This window comes from Homo sapiens, chromosome 1 (genome assembly GCF_000001405.40).
Source record: "Homo sapiens chromosome 1, GRCh38.p14 Primary Assembly".
Taxonomy (NCBI): Eukaryota; Metazoa; Chordata; class Mammalia; order Primates; family Hominidae; genus Homo; species Homo sapiens.
This window is the reverse complement of record NC_000001.11, coordinates 145,659,105-145,682,811: the sequence shown is the minus strand read 5'-3', so window position 1 is coordinate 145,682,811 and position 23,707 is coordinate 145,659,105. Positions and strand designations below refer to the sequence as shown.

The window sequence follows — 23,707 nt, the reverse complement described above, 5'->3', positions numbered from 1 at the left end:
ATAATTTGCGTGATAACATTAAGGTTGACATGTTCTTAGACTAGGGACAGTAAATGAAGTAGAAATCGGGAGGCAATCACAGGACTGGGGCTAATCAGAAGTCAACATCACAGATTACCATCCAAGAGGGAGTCACTTGTGTCTCCACATGGAGTTTACCCCTACTCTCTTCCAGGTAAAAAGGGGGTGTACATGACTGATATTACACCTCAAGGTGTGGCTATGAGAGCTGGAGTTCTGGCTGATGATCACTTGATTGAAGTGAATGGAGAGAATGTAGAGGATGCCAGCCATGAGGAAGTGGTTGAAAAGGTATGCCCCAAAGGGTACTTTTCTTACCCTATCTTCCACTCTATTCTCATTGGAGGTGACAGGAAGACAGGGGTGGTAGGGGACAGCATGAGTTTATGATGGAAAAAATATCCAGTTGAGTTGCCCCTTCATATTAAGGGTGAACAGACTCACACTAGTGGTATAAGCAGTGTTAATATAGGGTTTTGGAATAAAGCCTTCCCTAGTTTCACATGAGGTCTACAAAATTATTAACTTTACCTTTTGGATCTTGTTTGTATCTGATTGGGAGCCCCCTCTGAACTGTTTGATTGAGACAGGGTCTCACTCTGTTACCCAGGCTGGAGTGTAGTGGCACAATCTCGGCTCATTGCAGTCTCGGCCTCCTGGGCTCAGATGATTCTTCTACCTCAGCTTCCTGAGTAGCTGGGACTACAGGTGTGCACCACCGCACCTGGCTAATTTTTATGTGTGTGTGTGTGTGTGTGTGTGTGTGTGTGTGTGTGTGTGTTTTGTAGAGATAGGGTCTCACTATGTTGGCCAGGCTGGTCTTGAACTCCTGAGCTCAAGTGATCTGCCCGCCTTGGCCTCCCAAAGTGCTGGGATTATGGGCGTGTGCCACTGCGCCCTCTGAATTTACAATAAGTTCACTGTTGAGCCGTTAATACTGAAATGCTTTAATAGGAAGTGGGAGATAACCGAGATTTTCCTTTGAGGTCATATGGAACCTTAAAAATTGACCAACCTTCTCTTTGTAGAATGATTTTTTGACGTGGACCCTTACTTTCTTTTCTTTTCCAAACTCCCTTTCTAGCTTTTATCTAGGTACCTTTATGGGTTTTCTGAATTCCAGCTCCTACTTGGGCTCAGTTAGCACCTATGTGGGTAGGTCATACTTAAATAAGGGAAAACAACTATAGAAGTGGAGATAGGGGCCGGGCGCGGTGGCTCACGCCTGTAATCCCAGCACTTTGGGAGGCCGAGGCGGGTGGATCACGAGGTCAGGAGATCGAGACCATCCTGGCTAACAAGGTGAAACACCGTCTCCACTAAAAATAAAAAAAAAAAAATTTAGCCAGGTGCGGTGGCGGGCACCTGTAGTCCCAGGTACTCGGGAGGCTGAGGCAGGAGAATGGCGTGAACCCGGGAGGCAGAGCTTGCAGTGAGCTGAGATAGTGCCACTGCACTCCAGCCTGGGCGAAAGAGTGACACTCCATCTCAAAAAAAAAAAAAAAGGCGATAAATACATATCAGTTAGCTGGTAGGGCATAGTGTAACAGCTTAAACTCAGGCCTTTCATCCCCTATCTTTTGTTGAACCTAGAGACTGTGTGCCTTTATACAGAAACTTTCTTATTCCCCAGCATTGTTCTTGGGGGTTGATGTCATTCCTCATCTGTGTGTGTTGTTACAGGTGAAGAAGTCAGGAAGCCGTGTCATGTTCCTGCTGGTGGACAAAGAAACTGACAAGCGTCATGTTGAGCAGAAGATACAATTCAAAAGAGAAACAGCCAGTTTGAAACTGTTACCCCACCAGCCCCGAATTGTGGAGATGAAGAAAGGAAGCAATGGCTATGGTTTCTATCTGAGGGCAGGCTCAGAACAGAAAGGTAAGGTACAAGAGCAGGAAACTTGGCAGTAACCAGCAAATTCCTCATCCCATTCTGACTCCAGAGTTCCATTAGGTTCCCAACTCCCAGCCAGATGCATGAGCGGCATAGCATAGAAGGCACAGCTGGGTCAGCGTCTATGTCACATGAGGGTCTGATGTTGGGCATCAAAAGTTTCCATAGCATTATGATAAGGCAGAATTTGGGATCTGGGCAACGGTATCCTGGTAAGTTAGCTCTCTGGGGCGGGGGTGGGGGGAAATCCAAATTGGTAGCGTTTGTTTTTGGTACCAAATTGGTAGTATTTTGTGATGTAAATACTCCTCCCATGTCCAGTTTCAACTTACTAACACGATGTCACTGAACACAATGAAGTGTTGCACAGAATTGGCTTTTGTGAGCCGGTGTGAGCCAGTATAGCACACCGCTGGACCTGAGGCCGAGGTGTGGGTGAGGATTTGGGACTCAGAACCAGGAGTCCTCCTTCCTTGCAACTCAATAGGAAGAACACTAGGTTCTTTCAGGGAAGGTAAATACATAAAAGAACATGAGTTCGGGCCGTATAAACTGCTATTCGCCCATAAGTTGTTATTTTCTTTTCACTCTCTGTTTACATTAATTTATCAAATATTAATTTGGTTTGTGTTTTGTAAAAACATCCTCAGTGCCTTGGAGAAAGAATATCATATGAAGCAGACAGGAATTCTTTAGTGAAGGAGTCTACCATTTAGTAGATAAGAGATATGTCCATAATGAAGGGAGATAGAGGTTAAGTACCTTCATACAGGGGCAGATCAAGCACTGTGATAATTCAACGTTAGAGTAAGCTTTTCTCACTAAAAAGGTACCAGAAGCCCTCATAGTAGGGGTGGCACTTGAGTTCAGGCTTTGTAACATGAATAGATTTGGGAAAGTAGACAGAGCTGGGATAAGGAAGATCATTCCAGGAAGGTGGGAATCATGTGAACACAGTCAGGAGACACTGGCACAGTTTAATTGGCACATGATGTGTAGTACAAGAATTCGTTGGAAAGGTAGGTTGGAGAGAGGTGACAAGGGGACTTCTATGCAAGACTGATGAGTTTGAACTTGGCTTATCAGACAATGGGGAGTTGTTTTTTGAGCAGTATAAGGGAGAAGAACAAAAACCAGCCTATAATGTCTTGGGGGCTTTGCACATCTCAATTACTCCTAACAATTATGCAAGAAGAACTGCTGAAATTGAGGGCTTGGAGAAGATACAGTAATTATGTAAGGTCAAATAGTTGTTTAGTTCCAAAGCCCATGCTCATTCTGTTGCACCAGGAAGTGACTTGGTTAGGAATGTGCACCAAGATGGATCTGAAGGCAGATCTGTATCAGACAGAAGGACTGGGGAAGGGAAAGCAGTAGGTAAGGTGCTGTAATAGTTTAGGTAGAATTCTAGGCAGGAACTAATACAAACTGCATTCAGGGTAGAGGAAGTGGGATGTGTAAGGTATTATGGTAGCATCAGAGGACTTAGCAATCGTCTAGATATGGGGACTGGATGCTGGGGAAGAATCAGTTGCCAAGTGTTGGTGACTGGGATGATGTTGCTCCACTAACAGGTAACCAAGAGGAGGGGCTTTGGGATGGAGAATGGGCAGAGCTGATTTTTGGCTTGAATACATTACAGTTGAGAGATCTATGAGATATTTTGTTGGAGATACCCAGCAGCTAGCTGGAAAAGTGAAACAGGAACTTGTTAAAAAAAAAAAAAAAGGCAGCATCTGGTGAAGATACCAGAAGGCCAAAGCACATGGAGGCATGTATATACAAATATATTCAAAACCGAACACACCCAATTGCTACTAAAATGCCAGCCTGGGTTTCTTAAGGTCCAAAGTTTTGGGTTTTGTTCTTTATTCTTCCCCATCTTTTATGACAGCTTTTACATAAGACGCGTGGCTACAAGTATGCCCACTGACTTTCTGGGAACTTGCAGCCTTTTAATATGCTATTTTGCCAAAATCAAATGTCAGACGCTTTTAGTAACAGGATTATTTTCGTTAAGACCCCTTCATTGTTAATTGCTGGGTTAGTTTCTGGGGTGAGTTCTGAGCAGGAAACGAGCCTAGATAGTGTGCTTATAAGCTTCCTGGGATGCTGGTGGAAGGGGTGGTAGTTGTACTCAGCATGCCTTTTTTATCTGTTTCATCAGGGCTTTGGGCTCCAGCAGAAAATCTGTTTTATTTTTTTAGGGGACTTACTGATAATTTTATTTTTTGGGGTTGGGGGAGGGTAGGTCAAATCATCAAGGACATAGATTCTGGAAGTCCAGCAGAGGAGGCTGGCTTGAAGAACAATGATCTGGTAGTTGCTGTCAACGGCGAGTCTGTGGAAACCCTGGATCATGACAGTGTGGTAGAAATGATTAGAAAGGGTGGAGATCAGACTTCACTGTTGGTGGTAGACAAAGAGACGGACAACATGTACAGACTGGTAAGTAATACAAGGCCATATATTCATGCATTAAGGCTGGGCCCATTCACTCATGACCTCAACTTTTGCACTGAGTTAGGACTTTGTTCCTCAAACTGGAAGAGGCATAACAATCATCATTAAGGCTAAACTGAAGCTCAACTCAAATTGGTAGTGATAAGAGAATGCCAAATGATTGATAAATGAGTTTTAAGTCCTTGGTCTTAAGATTTTGAAAGAATTTGTGAATATAACTGCAGGCTTACTCTTGGTGATCTGAGAAAATCTATGGAGAATATAAGCCTGGAAATAAAATTGTTCCCAAAATAGGAAACAATTAGATTTTAAGCTTTAGGTCAGTTAAGTGCTATCAACTGCACATAAAAGCCTAGAAAGGATTATTAAACAACTTGTAAGCCCTTAGCAAATAAAAAAGAAACACAGATAGACCAAGACCAACCTGAATCAAACTAACTTTATTTTCTCTTAACAGCTCTTTATCATAACACCCACTACTGCATGTTTTAAGGTTTTTTTTTTTTTTTTTTTTTTTTTTTTTACTTTTAACACAAGAACTGAGGTTGTCTAGTTTAACAGATAACCTGGGGGGCCTTCTAAGTACCATCTGTCTTGCTAAGTGTTGATTGTAAAGATGAACAAGATAAATGTCCTCTGTGATATACAATGATAGTAGAATCTAAAATAAGCGGTACAGAGGGGGGAATATGATGGGTGGTGATATCTTAGGCCCTCCTCATAGATTAGGAAACCGAAGCTTAGAGAGACTAAGCACTTTGCTAAAGTCACGCAGCTTAGTAAAGACTGAAGGTGGTATCTGAACCCAAATTCTTGGACCCGTAATTCATTATACCATACTCCCCAGCACATTTTTTCAAGATAATCTTGTAAGCAGGATTAAACAATTAATTAGATTAATGGCTTTTTTTTTTTAGCTACTTGAACAATCATACCTAGAAAATACTTGATATCAACCTGAATATCAACTTGAATAGAAGTCTCTAATGGCATGCTACTTGTTCCTAACCGTTTATGTGCTTAAAGTTGAAAGGAGATATGGAAAATATATTAACATACTTAAAGTGGCACTAGATAATTCATTTGCTGGATGGTGTAATTAATACTCAAAATATTTAGTTAGGATAGAAAGAATGAAAACTAAAGAAATAAGAATAAATTTCAGATGTACTATACTAACCTAAAAGTAAATTGTATGAATACCACATGGTGAGACCTGATTTGAGGACTACAGAAAAAGACCAGAAACTTCATAGTCCAAGTGGTTGCCCCATCCAAATATGGTAATTTAAAAATTAACTGACAGACACTTGGCTTCTAGAGATGACCATCTTACTGTACTTACTTGGTCAGACCATACTTGGAATACCTGGTAATATAGTTACCACCTCTCTCTGTGCTTCAGTTTCCTTAGTTGTAAGAGAGGGGTAGTAGCTACAGCGAAGGGTGGCTATGAGGGTTGAATTGGAATATTCAGAGCATGTAGAATAATGCCTCACACATCTAAATGTTCTATTTGTTCAATCAATATTGTGTCCGGTTTCAAGAACTTCACTTTAAGAAGGCAATGACAAGGGTAACCAGGGAAGAGGTTTTGGAAGCCACCATGTGAGTATTTAGCTTGAGTAAGGCTTTGGAGAAGAGAGCATCTTCAAGAATTTGAAAGGCTATTACATGTAAGAAGGAGCACACTTTTTTTTTTTTTTTTTGAGACGTTGTCTTGCTCTGTCACCAGGCTGGAGTGCAGTGGTGCCATCTCAGCTCACTGCAATCTCCACCTCCCGGGTTCAAGCGATTCCCCTGCCTCAGCCTCCTGAGTAGCTGGAATTACAGGTGCGCACCACCATGCCCAGCTAATTTTTTGTATTTTAGTAGTTTTACCATGTTGGCCAGGATGGTCTCGATCTCCTGACCTTGTGATCCGCCCGCCTCGGCCTCCCAAAGTGCTGGGATTACAGGTATAAGCCAACACGCCCGGGCCACACATTTTTTTTAAGGTGTCCTATGGGGCACAACAGGACCAGAGAAGCCATAGGGAGCTAGCTTTTGGCTTAAGAACCAACTGAAGCTGCCAGAAATGATGAGTCATTTTGCAGTTGGTGGAAAGTCAAGCAGAAATCAGAGGCGGCTGCTGCAGCTGTTTGTTGTAAAGGGGATTCTGACCCCTCCTGATCTTATCATAGAATGATTTAATTGTAATTTTTCTGTTTTGGTTAATAGAGAACTTTGATCGAAAAAGAAGCCTGCCCTCATCATCTCCTTCCCCGCTCTCCAAAGTAAGCCCTGTAGGTTGGGGTGGAGGGTAGATCTTTGAGATACATCAGTGAGTAAAACACAACCCTCTAGCAGTCCCTGGCACATACTAGACACCCAATTATCTGAATGAAGCATGAATAAAATCTCATTTTTTTTTTTTGAGACAGAGTCTCCCGCTGTTGTCCAAGCTGGAGTGCAATGGTATGTTCTCAGCTCACTGGAACCTCTGCCTCCCAGGTTCAAGTGAGTCTCCTGCCTCAGTCTCTCAAGTAGCTGGGACTACAGGTGTGTGCTACCACACCTGGCTAATTTTTATATTTTTAGTAGAGAATGAGGTTTCACCATTTTGGCCAGGCTGGTCTCGAACTCCTGACCTCAAGTGATCCGCCCACCTTGTACTCCCAAAGTGCTGGGATTTCAGGCATGAGCCACCAAGCCCGGCCAAAATCTCAAGTGTTTTAATGTTATTGCACTTTGCCTCGAGATGAGCTGCGACTGTCAGATACAGTTGATTTGCTTGTTTGGGTAGTGTTATCAGACGTATTTTTGCATGTAATGAGTCACCTGATAATTTTCCATATTTTAAAGAGAAAGGCTCCATTGTGGAACTGTTGCAAGTATATGACTGAAAGGTCTGAAGTTAGTTGAACTGGGTAACTAGGAGGTTCTGTGCTGGTGGTATTCTCACTTAGAAAGGAAGGAGATGTGGTCTTGTGGTTAGTAAGACACATGATAACCAGAGGACTAAAAATCTAATTTTAGTCAGGCTGCTAAACAGTGCGATTTGAAGTAGAGCCCACACTGTGCTCACCTTCCATTGCTTGATTTCCTACTCATCACCTAACAAATGTTCCGGACACGTGTGGGCAGCCATTTAGCTGCTGATCCAGGATCACACCATACCCAGGTCCACCCTTCTAATTGTCTCAACTAAAACAGCCAGTTAGGCTTGTAATTCTATTACAAAAAAATCAATCCTGTTTCCTGTTCTATGCCTCTTCGGTATTCAAGATCATCATTTCTTTACATGGATGGTCTGGGAGTTGATATGAATTAGGAGTATTTAAAGATGTTGGAGAGTTTGGCATAATAGAAGTGACAGCTAATGCTTACAACAATACATAGCAAAATAAATAAGCACAGATCCCAGGTCTGGAAGGGGAGGGTATTGGCAAGCAGCAAAGGGTTGGAATTAACTTTTGTTACAATATGTGACCATATAACAGCTGTCACCCTCTCACCAATTATTCCTGTGTATATGGGTTGGTCTCTTCTAGTAGCTTTGAATCTTTGGATAGTGATAAAAATAGTGTTATATTAACATTCTCCAGAGAGACAGATCTAGTAGGATATAGATACAGGTATGAGAGGAGATTAATTAGGGGAATTGGCTTGTATGATTATGGAGGCTGAGAAGCCCCACGACAGGCTGTCTTCAAGCTTGAGACCCTGGGATGCCAGTAGTGTGGCTCCGTCCAAATCTGACTGAGCCACATTACTGGCATCACCCCTGATTGGCAGTCCTACTTGTTTGCTTCTGTGCATTTGGCCTGAGAATCTGGGGGGCTGCGGCTGTAGATCTTAGAGTCCAAAGGCCGGAGAACCAGGAATTCTGATGTCCAAGCACAGGAGAGGAAGAGGGTATCCCAGCTCTAGCAGACAGACTGACACCTTTGCCTTTTCTGTAGTTCACTCAGACTCGCATGCTAATCCCCTCTGGAACCACCTTCACAGACACACACCAAAATAATGCTTTGCCGGGCTTCTAGGTATTCCTTAATCCAGTCAAGTTGGCATCTAAAATTAACTATCACAAGTGTCTTGTGTTTTACTTTTTCTAATGTGTTTAAGGAGCTCTGAAGACCATCTTACCGAAAGGAAAAGCCAGAAGAATGTACTCTGCATGAGGTACCGGCTAGTCGGTCAGATATGTCATTTCCCAACAGGGAGATTATGTATAGCTTGTTCAGTGACTTGCTCACTATCATGAACTCACTCAAAAGAAACTAGCAATTTTTTAGACTTCTTTTGGGATCCTTGTACCGCATCCTATACTGCTTTTATGTTCATGTGTGCATTTGTGTACATGTATACACATATTACTCCATAACGAAGCACAGTCTTCTTTTATACCTTTCCTGGTTGGGGTAGTAGAGGAATTTTACAGCCTACAATCAGACACATCCAGAAGAAGAGTGGAATATGTATGATACCTTAAAAATCAGCACATTTAACAAAGTATAACTTACTCATGGTTACAACTAAGTTAATGTTTTTTCCCTTTATTTTTCAAAAGGCTCATTTTTCTCCATTTCTCTACTATCAAAGTCAAGAACTGCCCAATGGCTCTGTCAAGGAGGCTCCAGCTCCTACTCCCACTTCTCTGGAAGTCTCAAGTCCACCAGATACTACAGAGGAAGTAGATCATAAGCCTAAACTCTGCAGGCTGGCTAAAGGTGAAAATGGCTATGGCTTTCACTTAAATGCGATTCGGGGTCTGCCAGGCTCATTCATCAAAGAGGTATGGTAATCTGGTTCCAGCAGCCCAACAAACACAGCCACAATTAGGATAGTCTCAGCTTTTCCCACCCATTGATGGCTTAGTAGAGAGGTTCCATTGAAGGCACACACTGAGGGGTCTCACTTGGGTTCAGATAAATGTTGTCATGGTCCCACACCCTTTAGGTTAGCTACCAGTACATCATAAGCTCACGTTTGTTTGTTTCCCAAACATCTGTTCCAAACAGTGTGAGTTGACTGAACTCTAGTTGACAGTCACTATCAACCCTGATTGGCAGTCATATTTGTTTGCTTCTGTGCATTTGGCATAATGCCCCTTACCCTGTAGGGACTGATAAGAATCCCTAAAGCTTTCAAGTTGGGAGTGAAGAAGGGGGACCTATTTATCCCCCTTCATCCCAGAAGACATATGATGCTGAACCACTATTTATAATACCACTAATCATGTGAATATGGAAGTTATAGCCTTCATAAATATAAAAGCATTAGAACACCTTTCTCAACTTCTATACCTCAAGGAGAAATAATAACATGATTAAAAATAAATTCTTGAGCTCCTCATCTATTCTCTTAAGGAGAGCTAGTCTGATGTCCCCTTCTCTGTTTGAAATTGATAACTCAGAACTTCTGTTCACAGGTACAGAAGGGCGGTCCTGCTGACTTGGCTGGGCTAGAGGATGAGGATGTCATCATTGAAGTGAATGGGGTGAATGTGCTAGATGAACCCTATGAGAAGGTGGTGGATAGAATCCAGAGCAGTGGGAAGAATGTCACACTTCTAGTCTGTGGAAAGAAGGCCTATGATTATTTCCAAGCTAAGAAAATCCCTATTGTTTCCTCCCTGGCTGATCCACTTGACACCCCTCCAGATTCTAAAGAAGGAATAGTGGTGGAGTCAAACCATGACTCGCACATGGCAAAAGAACGGGTGAGTGGGGGCCTATTTCTTTTCGTGATCTAATTTACTAGAGTATGGGTACAGTCCCTATGAGTATATTTAATGTCTATGTTTGCCACAGATTTTTTTAAAACTAGAAAATGAAAATGTAAAGATAACTAACAAATCAAGTTATTGTAGAGGACAGGAGGCAGTATAAGAACAACAAATTTCTTACTTTCATAGCATGCAGCTGACAGCAACTGTCTAGAGCTAATAAATCAAGAAGTAAAAAGTTTATCAGTATTGTAATGGGAACCCCCAAAAGAGCCTGAATCGGATGATCTAGATATGAATTCTGGTTCTGTCATTTGTCAGCTGTGGGGAAATGGATTTATTTGTTCTGTTCCTCAGTTTTCCCACCCATAAAACAGGAATAATTTGTAGGATTGTTATCAGGATCATGTTAACTAAGATTAACTATATTAAAGTGCTTTGAATAGTGGCTGGCTCATAGTGAGCATGTAAGTGGTGACGGTTAAAGACAATATTGTTTAAAACAACTGACAGGTAATCCAGTTTTATTACTAGGAAAGATTAAGCATTCTCTATATTATTCTCTATATATTTGGATTAAATTTCTTGGTAAGTCTCAGTTTTATATTTTTGCCCAATTTTTCATAGATGAACTTGAGGTCGAAAAGTAAACTGACTTATCCAAGTTCATAAAGGAAATTTATAGCAAAGCCGAGACTCTAAAAAAGTTTAATTCAATGTTGTTCTTCTTTCCATTATATTAATTCTGCTAATGGGTGGAATATTCATTTTAATAAACTCAGTTTAATGAACACACACAATGCCCACTGATTTGTATTCAGGAATGCTTAATAAATACTATTAGTTGTATTAGTTGTCATTTAAAAATTCTGTAATTTCTCTTTAGGAAGTCAATATCCTAGTCTTATAAAAAAGAAATATACACAGACATTAAGGAATTTGTTAATGTGTCAAACAGCAAGTTGAAAACAATCAAGTGTAGAATTCAGGTCACCTGACTTCTAGTCATACCCAGATCATCTGATTCAGGCTCTTCTGGGGGTTCCCATTACAATACTGATAAACTTTTTACTTGATTTATCAGCTCTACACAATTGCTGTCAACTGCATGCTGTGAAAGAAAGAAATTCTAGTGAGTGACTCTACTCCCCGACTTAAGTCATGCAACTCTAGAATAGATCATCCCTCTTTCATTACTCTACCATTTGTAAATTCTTTGTTTTCTTATACACAGGCCCACAGTACAGCCTCACATTCTTCTTCCAATTCTGAAGATACAGAGATGTGATGAAAACAAGTAATAGCTTTGGCTGTTTATTTGATAGCTGTTTCTGGGTATTTAATAGGAATCCTTTCTCAAGGAATGAGTTGTGACCTGTTTACTGTCTCTTTAGAAGAAAAACTCCACTGGAAACCATTCACCATGTGTGATTGTCTTCTGTTATCATTTGTCTTACAGGCGGCTATTGCAGACGGCTAATTTATGCTTAACTTAGGAAGAGATAAGGCAAGAGCTAGATTTTTTTCATGTGATCTTTTCCAAGCTTCAACTTAACTTAACTACATTTCTCTGTATGATGATGTCTCTTACTTCTACAGGTTCCTTGAGCACCAAAGATGATTCATAACTCTGTATAGGTGACAGCTGCTTATAAAAGCATCTTAGCAGATAAGCCTATTAAAATTGTGCTTTTGTAACAATGTTGTGGTTGCTAGAATAAATACCATTAACAAATGCCTTTTGAGTATGCTTGATAGTGCTTTTGTTTTGGATTCACTTTTTATGCTTTAACCTTCATTTGCCTCTAGAAACCCAAAACACAATAAAGTACAGAATAAGACCTTAGTAATAAAATTCAGAATTTTCTTAAATTGCATGTCTGAGTGTTCTAAAAATTTTTCAACATTTCCCTTTCACAAGTGACTTATTCCCCCAGTTAAGTTATTCACGGTTTCACCCCACAGCGTGAGGGGCAGATAGAAAAAAAAAAAAGGAAACATCACTACCGAATTGAAAGTAGGGTATAATACTAAGTTCACAGGAAATCAAGAAAAAATGACATACCTGAAATCTCTCTTTTGGTAAAATCTATTTCAGGTGCATACCACCCCTTTCCCGGAAAAGAACAGATAACCTCTTTCTTGGTTATTTTAATGGGGCAGGATCAGATGAGGAGGTGTGGGATGCTAACTGATGTTAGATCACACAAGCATAATAAATACCAAGCTATGCTTGATAAAATGAACGTAAGGCAAAAGTGTTACAGTCTCTGATTTTAATGAGTCAATCTCAAGGCAAAGCTATAACCTTTTCCATGTGAACCTTAAAACGGAAATCCTACGTGTTTGGCTCAGCTACCATAGACATGTCTTGCCCCAGAGTTCCAGTGTATTTTTCACCTTTAGTTTCTTGGCTCCTCTCCGCCTCTACACCAGCCTCATATCCACACGGGATGCTCTCTGCTGAGTATTGTCTTGAGTTAGTTCTCCCTCTCATGTTCTGGCTGATGCTACTCATGGTCATAGTATCACCTGACGGGGAAGGAGTATGCTATGAAGGTGAAAAATGCTACCATAGCATTTTGTTTGTTTATAAAATGTCAGGCCCTGGTTCCATTTTTCCCCCCTCTTATATCTAAATTTTGAAACCACTGGCCTCTAACAGTCTGTAGTAGGCTTAAGTTCAAGGTGCCATTTGCTTCTCTGGTGCCTGTTTGTGAGCCAAATAGAGGAAGAGTATGCTAGAGAGAGCGCTGACCAGGAAGATCACATCAAACCAACGGTGATAGAAGTTGAACTGCAGTTCTCCAAGGACTTCAGTGATTATGGTGCGGTATTCTAAAGGCATACTCATTCGGATCAGCAGCACAGAGGAGACAAAGTACATGCCCTGTAAGTCAAATGAATTAATCCAGAAGTGACTCTGAATGTAGTGAGGAACAGGACAAAGGAAATTATTAAAATTCTTAAAAGTATCAAGCACATTTCTGATATTTTACAGCTGTAAACATAAAGGTAACTAATTAAACTTACCATTATCTGTGCTAATAGCAGGACAATGACATTGGAGGACTTACTGCTAGAGATGGCATAAAAGAACTGTCAAGAAAGAGGGAGATGAATTTATGCAGTAGTGTTAGATTCCTGTGTCACGAACAGTAAGAAATATGGTTAACATTTGATTAAAAGTGTCTCTTCCATGCCACAATCCTGTATAGAACAATTCATATGATTAAGACTATAAAGAAGAGACTTAAAATAGACTGCTGAAAAAGTTATACTTTCCCCCTGGGGGTAATTTAATTACATAACATATGAAAGGATTCCTATTGCTATCAAACTTCAGAAACTATGTGATACATATGACTTAACATCACTATAAAACATTAAGTCAGATCACTCCAGCCCACTCCAAGCGGTTGTAATTGTTAGTAGGCTCCCACGCTCTTTCTAAAACTGTGCTAGATGCCTGCAGATCCCTTCCTGTCCCAGCCACTTCTCTTTCATTCAAAAGCTCCTGGATTTTTAAATCCCTACCTTTCCTACCAGAGAGGACTCACTTTCCACCTCCGTGAAGTCTTCCTACGTTGATTAGAAAATAGATGAATTCAGGCTTTGGTATCAGGATGATGCTGGCCTCATAAAATGAGTTAGGGTATCATCCTGATACCAAAACCTGGCAGAGACACAACAAAAAAAGAGAATTTTAGACCCTGATGAACATCGATGCAAAAATCCTCAATAAAATACTGGCAAACTGAATCCAGCGGCACATCAAAAAGCTTATCTGCCATGATCAAATGGGCTTCATCCCTGGGATGCAAGGCTGGTTCAACATATGCAAATCAATAAACATAATCCAGCATATAAACAGAACCAAAGACAAAAACCACATGGTTATCTCAATAGATGCAGAAAAGGCCTTTGACAAAATTCAACAGCCCTCCATGCTAAAAACTCAATAAATTAGGTATTGATGGGACGTATCTCGAAATCGTAAGAGCTATTTATGACAAACCCACAGCCAATATCATACTGAATGGGCAAAAACTGGAAGCATTCCCTTTGAAAACTGGCACAAGACAGGGATGCCCTCTCCCACCACTCTTATTCAGCATAGTGTTGGAAGTTCTGGCCAGGGCAATCAGGCAGGAGAAAGAAATAAAGGGTATTCAATCAGAAAAAGAGGAAGTCAAATTGTCCCTGTTTGCAGAAGACATGACTGTATATATAGAAAACCCCATCGTCTCAGCCCAAAATCTCCTTAAGCTGATAAGCAACTTCAGCAAAGTCTCAGGATACAAAATCAATGTGCAAAAATCACAAGCATTCTTATAGACCAATAACAGACAAACAGAGAGCCAAATCATGAGTGAACGCCCATTCACAATTTCTTCAAAGAGAATAAAATACCTAGGAATCCAATTTACAAGGGATGTGAAGGACCTCTTCAAGGAGAACTACAAACCACTGCTCAACAAAATAAAAGAGGAAACAAACACATGGAAGAACATTCCATGCTCATGGATAGGAAGAATCAATATCATGAAAATGGCCATACTGCCCAAGGTAATTTATAGATTCAATGCCATCCACATCAAGCTACCAATGACTTTCTTCACAGAATTGGAAAAAACTACTCTAAAGTTCATATGGAACCAAAAAGAGCCCGCATTGCCAAGTCAATCCTAAGCCAAAAGAACAAAGCTGGAGGCATCACACTACCTGACTTCAAGCTATACTACAAGGCTACAGTAACCAAAACAGCATGGTACTGGTACCAAAACAGAGATATAGACCAATGGAACAGAACAGAGCCCTCAGAAATAATACCACACATCTACAACCATCTGCTCTTTGACAAACCTGACAAAAACAAGAAATGGGGAAGGGATTCCCTATTTAACAAATGGTGCTGGGAAAACTGGCTAGCCATATGTAGAAAGCTGAAACTGGATCCCTTCCTTACACCTTATACAAAAATTAATTCAAGATGGATTAAAGACTTAAATGTTAGACCTAAAACCATAAAAACCCTAGAAGAAAACCTAGGCAATAACATTCAGGACATAGGCATGGGCAAGGACTTCATGTCTAAAACACCGAAAGCAATGGCAACAAAAGCCAAAATTGACAAATGGGATTTAATTAAACTAAAGAGCTTCTGCACAGCAAAAGAAACTACCATCAGAGTGAACAGGCAACCTACAGAATGGGAGAAAATTTTTGCAATCTACTTATCTGACAAAGGGCTAATATCCAGAATTTACAAAGAACTCAAACAAATTTACAAGAAAAAAAACAACCCCATCAAAAAGTGGGCAAAGGATATGAACAGACACTTCTCATGTGCAGCCAACAGACACATGAAAAAATGCTGATCATCACTGGCCATCAGAGAAATGCAAATCAAAACCACAATGAGATACCATCTCACACCAGTTAGGATGGTGATCATTAAAAAGTCAGGAAACAACAGGTGCTGGAGAGGATGTGGAGAAACAGGAACACTTTTACACTGTTGGTGGGACTGTAAACTAGTTCAACCATTGTGGAAGGCAGTGTGGCAATTCCTCAAGGATCTACAACTAGAAATAACATTTGACCCAGTCATCCCATTACTGGGTATATACCCAAAGGATTATAAATCATGCTGCTATAAAGACACATGCACACGTATGTTTATTGCATGTGCAATATTCATACTATTCACTATTCACATACTCTATTCACAATAGCAAAGACTTGGAACCAACCCAAATGTCCATCAATGATAGACTGGATTAAGAAAATGTGGCACATATACACCATGGAATACTATCCAGCCACAAAAAAGGATGAGTTCATGTCCTTTGTAGGGACATGGATGAAGCTGGAAACCATCATTCTCAGCAAACTATCGCAAGGACAAAAAGCCAAACACTGCATATTCTCACTCATAGGTGGGAACTGAACAATGAGAACACTTGGACACAGGAAGGGGAACATCACACACCGAGGCTTGTCGTGGGGTGGGGGGAGGGGGGAGGGACAGCATTAGGAGATATACCTAATGTAAATGACAAGTTAATAGGTGCAGCACACCAACATGGCACATGTATCCAAATGTAACAAACCTGCATGTTGTGCACATGTACCCTAGAACTTAAAGTATAATTTAAAAAAAAAAAATAGTTGAATTCAGTAGGTCCTTACTTAATGCCATTTATAGGATCTTGGAAACTGAGATTTTAAGTGAAATGATGTATAACAAAACTACATTTTTCTCACAGCATTATAATGAAATGTTGAACGAAACATTTTTTTGAGGACTTGGTATATAGTTTTGCTTAAAGCTGCTGTTTCCAAGAACTTATTGATGACATTAAGGACTTGCTATATTCTGCTCCCTTACTTCCATATCTTCTCTGTAAGTGACTCTCACAACTATTCTTCCAGTCTCAAATATCTGCTGAATATCTGCCTACCATGTGCTAGGTTCTGTTCTAGATACTGATAACATATCAGTGAACAAAACAGACCCATATCTTACTCTATCACCTTTAGTGAATGTACTTATCTATAATTGGTATATGATGTAAATATATCATCATCAATTTATGTAGTAGTTTAACTTTTAAAAAATTCTGTTGTATGTCTTTTAAATCCTTGACACTGTTGTTTAAAGTCTCAGGAGGCAGAATTCTTAATGAGGTAAAATTATCTCATGGTACCACCTATTTTTTTTTTTTTGAGATGGAGTGTTGCTCTTTCACCAGGCTGGAGTGCAGTGTGTGACCTTGGTTCACTGCAATCTCTGCTGCCTGGGTTCAAGTGATTCTCCTAACTCAGCCTCCCAAGTAGTTGGGACTACAGGCATGTGCCACCACACCCAGCTAATTTGTTGTATTTTTAGTAGAGATGGGGTTTCACCATGTTGGCTAGGATGGACTCGATCTCCTGACCTCGTGATCCACCCACCTCAGCCTTCCAAAGTGTTGGGATTACAGGCGTGAGCCACCACACCCGGCTGGTACCACATTTAATTAAACAAATGATAAGCAGTACTTTTTAACACTGTGATAAAACATACCTTGGTAAGAGTGATCAGCAATCCTCTGATGGATGTGACGATGATTATTCCAACAAGAATGAAGGAAATGTGTTGGGACCAAAACTTCACCTGCCACCATAACAAGAAAAAATATCTGCTAAATCTCTGTTCAGAGAGACGTAAGGGCTAAGCTATATCCCGATCATTTACATGACTGTGAGAGGGAGCTTTATTAGACCCTACCTGATTTTTTTTCTTAAGGGAGAGAGGAAAGCAAGTAGGTGGCAAATAAAACAACTACAGAAAGACTGCAGTAAATACCTTAATTAGCAGACTTAATTAAACCTTAAAATTAAAAAAATATTTTTTTTGTAGAGCCAGGGTCTTGCTATGTAGTTCAGGCTCGTCTCAAACTCCTGGGCTCAAGCAATACTCCCACATCAGCCTCCCAAAGTGTTGGTATTACAGGCATGAGTCACCATGCCCGGCAGCAAGTACCAAGAAGTGATAAAAATAACGCTAATAAATCAGAAAAAAACAGAACTAATGATACAGTTTTACTGTGATAAACGAAAAGCAGGAATTAAAAGGAAACTAAATAATACCTTGATTATTTTCTATCTATGAATAATAGTTCCCTAATCACCAAAACTTCAAGGAATCTTTCTTTTTATAGTAAAAGAATATATAGACATTCTCAGCTAAATTCTAGGAAATAGTTGAACTTCACTGGAACCACATGATACCTTTTTCTCCTCCTGTATTGCTTCATAGTGAGAAGGAGTTTTGGGACCCTGTGTTTGATTCAGTTCTGAAAAGTATCTGAAAGGGAGCTGCTATTACTAACATCTAAACGATTTGTTATTCAGAATTACAAAATATAGCATAAACAGATGAATTACAGATGAAATATATACATGGCCATGTAAGTATCCTCAGAAAGTACAGAAAAGCAAAAGCATTGCTAAAAATTCAGCCCAGTAAAACACTTAAGGAAACACAAATGCAACAACAGCAAAGCATACTTTTTGTTGTTTTTTGAGACAGGGGTCTCACTCTGTCGCCCAGAGTGGAGTGCAGTGGCACTATCTCAGCTCACTGCAACTTCTTTCTCCCCGGCTCAAGTGATCCTCCTGCTTTAGCCTCCTGCATAGCTGGGACTACAGGTGCATGCCACCATGTCCAGCTAATTTTTATATTTTTTCTAGAGACAGGTTTTCACCATGTTGCCCAGGCTGGTCTTGAACTCCTGGACTCAAGTGATCTGTCTCGACCTCTCAAAGTGCTGGGACTACAGATGTGGGCCACAGTAGTGCGTGGCCTGTAAAGCATATTTAATATAATTTATATACCACTTGAAGAAAAGATATCATGTTCCTTCACACTCAAAGAGGATACACTATTGATCTAGCATCAAGAAACATGTACATTGAGCTGTTTCTCAAGGATTGGGGCTCAATTTGCTCTCGTTCATTTTCATTTCATCCAAGTCCTTTTGAGATTAGGGGCACGTCTGGCTGGGATGGATGGCTGGGGGTAGCACGCAGTCTGCGTCTAGGTTGACAGCACAGCTAAATGGCCTACACTGGGACTAAGAATATGACATTGGTCTTACTATTAAAGTGCTATTCAGCCAGAGTCATTGGCTCTGGTTTATGAATAAAGACACTGAACTTCAATTAGGACAAGGGTGTATTTATGACAGTGGTATTATGAAACAGTAAAAAGACAATTTAAAAAAAAATTTTGTGCATAGGTGACAGTTACCATCTTTAGCCCAAGGTCCACATTAATAGATAAAGATCATTTCTTACAGCAGAAATCATTTCAGCTCTAACACAGAACACTAATTAGTAGCTAATTTTCCACTGGAGCATCAAAGCTGAGTTGTGTGTTTGAAGAGCTTAATAAGAATCACAGAGAGAAGTATTTGAATACTTTGGTGGGGAGAAAATGGTAAACTGGTAGCTGCCTATAGAGAAGCAGAGGAGCAGCTGTAGAAATAATCAGCATCCATGACAATATTAAGTATCAATCATTACTTCTGGCTTTATGTTAAGAGAGAGAATCTTGGCCTTTTACAAATTTTCCATGTGAATACATCAAAATATAAAAATTTTCCATGTGAATACGTCAAAATATACAGAGTGGGAAGAACAAAAGCAGAAGCAAGTACCTAAAGTATACAAATTAGAATCTTAACAATGGTAAGTTATAGTAGATAAAACAGAAACATGACAAACCAGGATCTTGATATAACACTTACATCAAATTGGATTCCCAGATAATTCACAGTGATCTCAATGCCTCTTGTGACAGGATCCGTTTTCCCAACTCGATCAAAAACAATATTGATGGTAGCCTGCAAAGATGCAGATTTTTACCTTGGAGCATCTTAACAATCACTTACTATTTCAAAAAGTGACTGAAACTAATGAATTAATCACTGTAACATATCTTACAGGTCAATGTTCCTAAAAATGCAATTCTACTCTTAATCCAAATCATATATAGGAAATCTATTTTGGATACTCATATATAGGCAAACAAAAGTCCCTATTTCCTCCATCTTTCTTTTCTGTAAAGAGTCAATGGGAATAAAGCTACGGCATTATGCCTTAATTTATCAGGAGCCAGAAAGGTAACATTCTGGTAGATGAAGTCAGATTAAGAGAATCAAGAAATCCCAGGGTAATTCCTTGTGGTTATTTTCTGAATGCTTTAACAGCAAATACTAAAATAACAGAAAAAGGAGTTATAGCTAATAAGTCAACAAACGATATCAAATGGAATAATGAAAAATTCCCAATTAATCCCCAAGATGGAAGTTTAAAAAAGGAAAAAGGGAGAAAAGAACAGATGGGACCAATGAAAAGAAATAGCAACACAGTAGTTTAAAATCCAACCACGTTAAAAAAAAAGAAACAACCACATCAATAATCACATGAAATGTAAATGGTCTGCATAATAGGTGAGCAAACTCTGCCACTGGAGTGTGACAGCAGCCACAGACAATACACAAATGAATGGACTTGGCTGCGTTCCAATAAAACTTTATTTCCAAAGGCAGGCAGTGGTTAGGTTTGGCCTGTGGGCTATAGATTGCTGATCCTTGGTCTAAACATGTCAATGAAATGGCAGAGGTTGTTAGATTGGATAAAAATGCAAGACCCAACTATATATTCCTTATGAAAAAACCACTTTAATAAATATAAAGATACAAATAGGTTAAAAGTAAAAGGACAGAAAAATATATTATGCTAACACTAATCAAAAGAAAGCTAGAATGTCTATATTAATGTCGGACAAAGTAGATTTCATAGCAAAAATACTGCTAGGTATTAAAAGGGTCATTTCAGAATGATAAAAGGATCATTTCAACAAGGGGTACACAATGATTCTAAATGTTTATACACCTAATGACAGAGCTTCAAAATACGTAAAGCAAAACTGATAGAAATAAAAAAGAAATGGACAAATCCACAATAGCTGGATCCCCTCTCTCAATAACTGATAAAATTAGTCAGAAACTCTAATAATACTATCAATCAATTTGACGTAATTGACATTTATGGAACACTCCTGCCAACAAGAGCACAATACATATTCTACTCACATACAGGTAAGACATTTATCACCATATTCTGTCTGGGACAGAAAACAAGTCAATAATTTAAAAGATTCATATCATACAAAATATGTTCTTAGACCACATGAAATTAAATTAGAAATTAATTAGAGAATAATATTTGGAAGATCCTCAAATATTTTATAACACACTTCTAAATCACCCATGAATCAAAGAAGAAATCAAAGGGAAACTCGAAAGCATTTTGAATTGAATGAGAAATACAATTCATTAAATTTGTGAGATCTAGTATAGCAGTACATAGCAAGAAATGTATAGCATTAAAACCCCTATATCAGCAAAGATCTCCAATCAATGATCTTAGTTTCCATCTTAAGAAATTAGAAAAAGAGACTCAAAATAAGCAGAAGAAAGGAAATAACAAAGACCAGAGCAGAAATCAATGAAATAGCAAAAAATGAGAGAAAACTAATTAACCCAAAAGTTGGTTCTTTGAAAAGTTCAACAAAACCAATAAACTTCTACTAGACTGATAAAGACAAAAGAGGGAAGTCACAAGTTACCAATATTAAGAACAAGAGAGACATCACTGTCACACCCATGAGGATGGCTATAATAAAAAAGTTTTTATTTTATTTTATTATTATTATACTTTAAGTTTTAGGGTACATGTGCACACTGTGCAGGTTAGTTACATATGTATACATGTGCCATGCTGGTGTGCTGCACCCATTAACTCATCATTTAGCATTAGGTATATCTCCTAAAACTATCCCTCCCCCCTCCCCCCACCCCACAACAGTCCCCAGAGTGTGATGTTCCCCTTCCTGTGTCCATGTGTTCTCATTGTTCAATTCCCACCTATGAGTGAGAACATGTGGTGTTTGGTTTTTTGTCCTTGCGATAGTTTACTGAGAATGATGATTTCCAATTTCATCCATGTCCCTACAAAGGACATGAACTCATCATTTTTTATGGCTGCATAGTATTCCATGGTGTATATGTGCCACATTTTCTTAATCCAGTCTATCATTGTTGGACATTTGGGTTGGTTCCAAGTCTTTGCTATTGTCAATAGTGCCACAATAAACATACGTGTGCATGTGTCTTTATAGCAGCATGATTTATAGTCCTTTGGGTATATACCCAGTAATGGGATGGCTGGGTCAAATGGTATTTCTAGTTCTAGATCCCTGAAGAATCGCCACACTGACTTCCACAAGGGTTGAACTAGTTTACAGTCCCACCAACAGTGTAAAAGTGTTCCTGTTTCTCCACATCCTCTCCAGCACCTGTTGTTTCCTGACTTTTTAATGATTGCCATTCTAACTGGTGTGAGATGGTATGTCATTGTGGTTTTGATTTGCATTTCTCTGATGGCCAGTGATGGTGAGCATTTTTTCTTGTGTTTTTTGGCGGCATAAAAGTCTTCTTTTGAGAAGTGTCTGTTCATGTCCTTCGCCAACTTTTTGATGGGGTTGTTTGTTTTTTTCTTGTAAACTTGTTTGAGTTCATTGTAGATTCTGGATATTAGCCCTTTGTCAGATGAGTAGGTTGCAAAAATTTTCTCCCATTCTGTAGGTTGCCTGTTCACTCTGATGGTAGTTTCTTTTGCTGTGCAGAAGCTCTTTAGTTTAATTAGATCCCATTTGTCAATTTTGGCTTTTGTTGCCATTGCTTTTGGTATGCTTTTAGACATGAAGTCCTTGCCCATGCCTATGTTCTGAATGGTAACGCCTAGGTTTTCTTCTAGGGTTTTTATGGTTTTAGGTCTAACGTTTAAGTCTTTAATCCATCTTGAATTAATTTTTGTATAAGGTGTAAGGAAGGGATCCAGTTTCAGCTTTCTACATATGGCTAGCCAGTTTTCCCAGCACCATTTATTAAATAAGGAATCCTTTCCCCATTGCTTGTTTTTCTCAGGTTTGTCAAAGATCAGATAGTTGTAGATATGCGGCGTGATTTCTGAGGGCTCTGTTCGGTGCCAATGTACAAAAATCACAAGCATTCTTATACACCAATAACAGACAAACAGAGAGACAAATCATGAGTGAACTCCCATTCACAATTGCTTCAAAGAGAATAAAATACCTAGGAATCCAACTTACAAGGGATGTGAAGGACCTCTTCAAGGAGAACTACAAAACACTGCTCAATGAAATAAAAGAGGATACAAACAAATGGAAGAACATTCCATGCTCATGGTAGGAAGAATCAATATCATGAAAATGGCCATACTGCCCAAGGTAATTTATAGATTCAATGCCATCCCTATAAAGCTACCAATGACTTTCTTCACAGAATTGGAAAAAACTACTTTAAAGTTCATAAGGAACCAAAAAAAGCCCACATTGCCAAGTCAATCCTAAGCCAAAAGAGCAAAGCTGGAGGCATCACGCTACCTGACTTCAAACTATACTACAAGGCTACAGTAACCAAAACAGCATGGTACTGGTACCAAAACAGAGATATAGATCAATGGAACAGTATAAAAAAGTTAATAACAATTGTTGGTGGGGATGTGGAGAAATTGGAGCACGCATCCCCTGCTGACAGGAATGTAAACTGTTGCTGCTGTTTTGGAAAAGTCTGGTAGTTCTTTAAAAGGTTAAACATAGGCCGGTCGCAGTGGCTCATGCCTGTAATCCTAGCACTTTGGGAGGCTGAGGCGGGTGGATCACAAGGTTAGGAGTTAGAGACCAGCCTGGCCAATATGGTGAAACCCTGTCTCTACTAAAAATACAAAAAAGTTAGCCGGGAGTGGTTGCATGCGCCTGTAACCTCAGCTACTTGGGACGCTGAGGCAGGAGAATTGCTTGAACCTGGGAGGTGGAGGTTGCAGTGAGCTGAGACTGCACCACTGCACTCCAGCCTGGGCGACAGAGCTAGACTCCACCTCAATAAATAAATAAATAAATAAATAAAAAGGTTAAACATATACTTAGCATATGACACGGCAATTCTACCCCTAGATATACACATAAGAGAAATTAAAAC

The 23,707-nt window shown here is 39.6% G+C and overlaps 2 protein-coding genes across 20 annotated transcripts in view; one reads left to right on the top strand and one right to left on the bottom strand.

Annotated features, from left to right (window-relative positions):
* PDZK1 (PDZ domain containing 1) overlaps nt 1–11,960 on the top strand; it is a 36,549-nt gene extending 24,589 nt beyond the window's left edge. For 3 of the 13 annotated variants that reach the window (NM_002614.4, XM_047422527.1, XM_047422529.1), the window contains 6 exon segments: nt 176–312; nt 1,705–1,900; nt 4,167–4,363; nt 8,931–9,155; nt 9,792–10,082; nt 11,323–11,960. In NM_002614.4, coding sequence (NP_002605.2) covers nt 176–312; nt 1,705–1,900; nt 4,167–4,363; nt 8,931–9,155; nt 9,792–10,082; nt 11,323–11,376 — 1,100 coding nt within the window. In that variant the 3' untranslated portion in view covers nt 11,377–11,960. 13 annotated transcript variants of the gene reach the window in all.
* Nucleotides 12,162–23,707, bottom strand: part of GPR89A (G protein-coupled receptor 89A) — a 62,663-nt gene continuing 51,117 nt past the window's right edge. For 5 of the 7 annotated variants that reach the window (NR_036541.2, NM_001097613.3, XM_011509908.3 and 2 more), the window contains 4 exons: nt 19,388–19,483; nt 17,161–17,250; nt 13,122–13,187; nt 12,162–12,978 (listed from right to left, as the gene is read on the bottom strand). Coding sequence is in view for 6 of the 7 variants with exons in the window: in NM_001097613.3 (NP_001091082.2) it covers nt 12,772–12,978; nt 13,122–13,187; nt 17,161–17,250; nt 19,388–19,483 (459 nt within the window). In the remaining variant the exon portion in view is untranslated. The remainder of the gene's footprint in view (nt 12,979–13,121; nt 13,188–17,160; nt 17,251–19,387; nt 19,484–23,707) is intronic. The other 2 variants (XM_006711492.5, XM_047428704.1) reach the window with 1 other exon arrangement.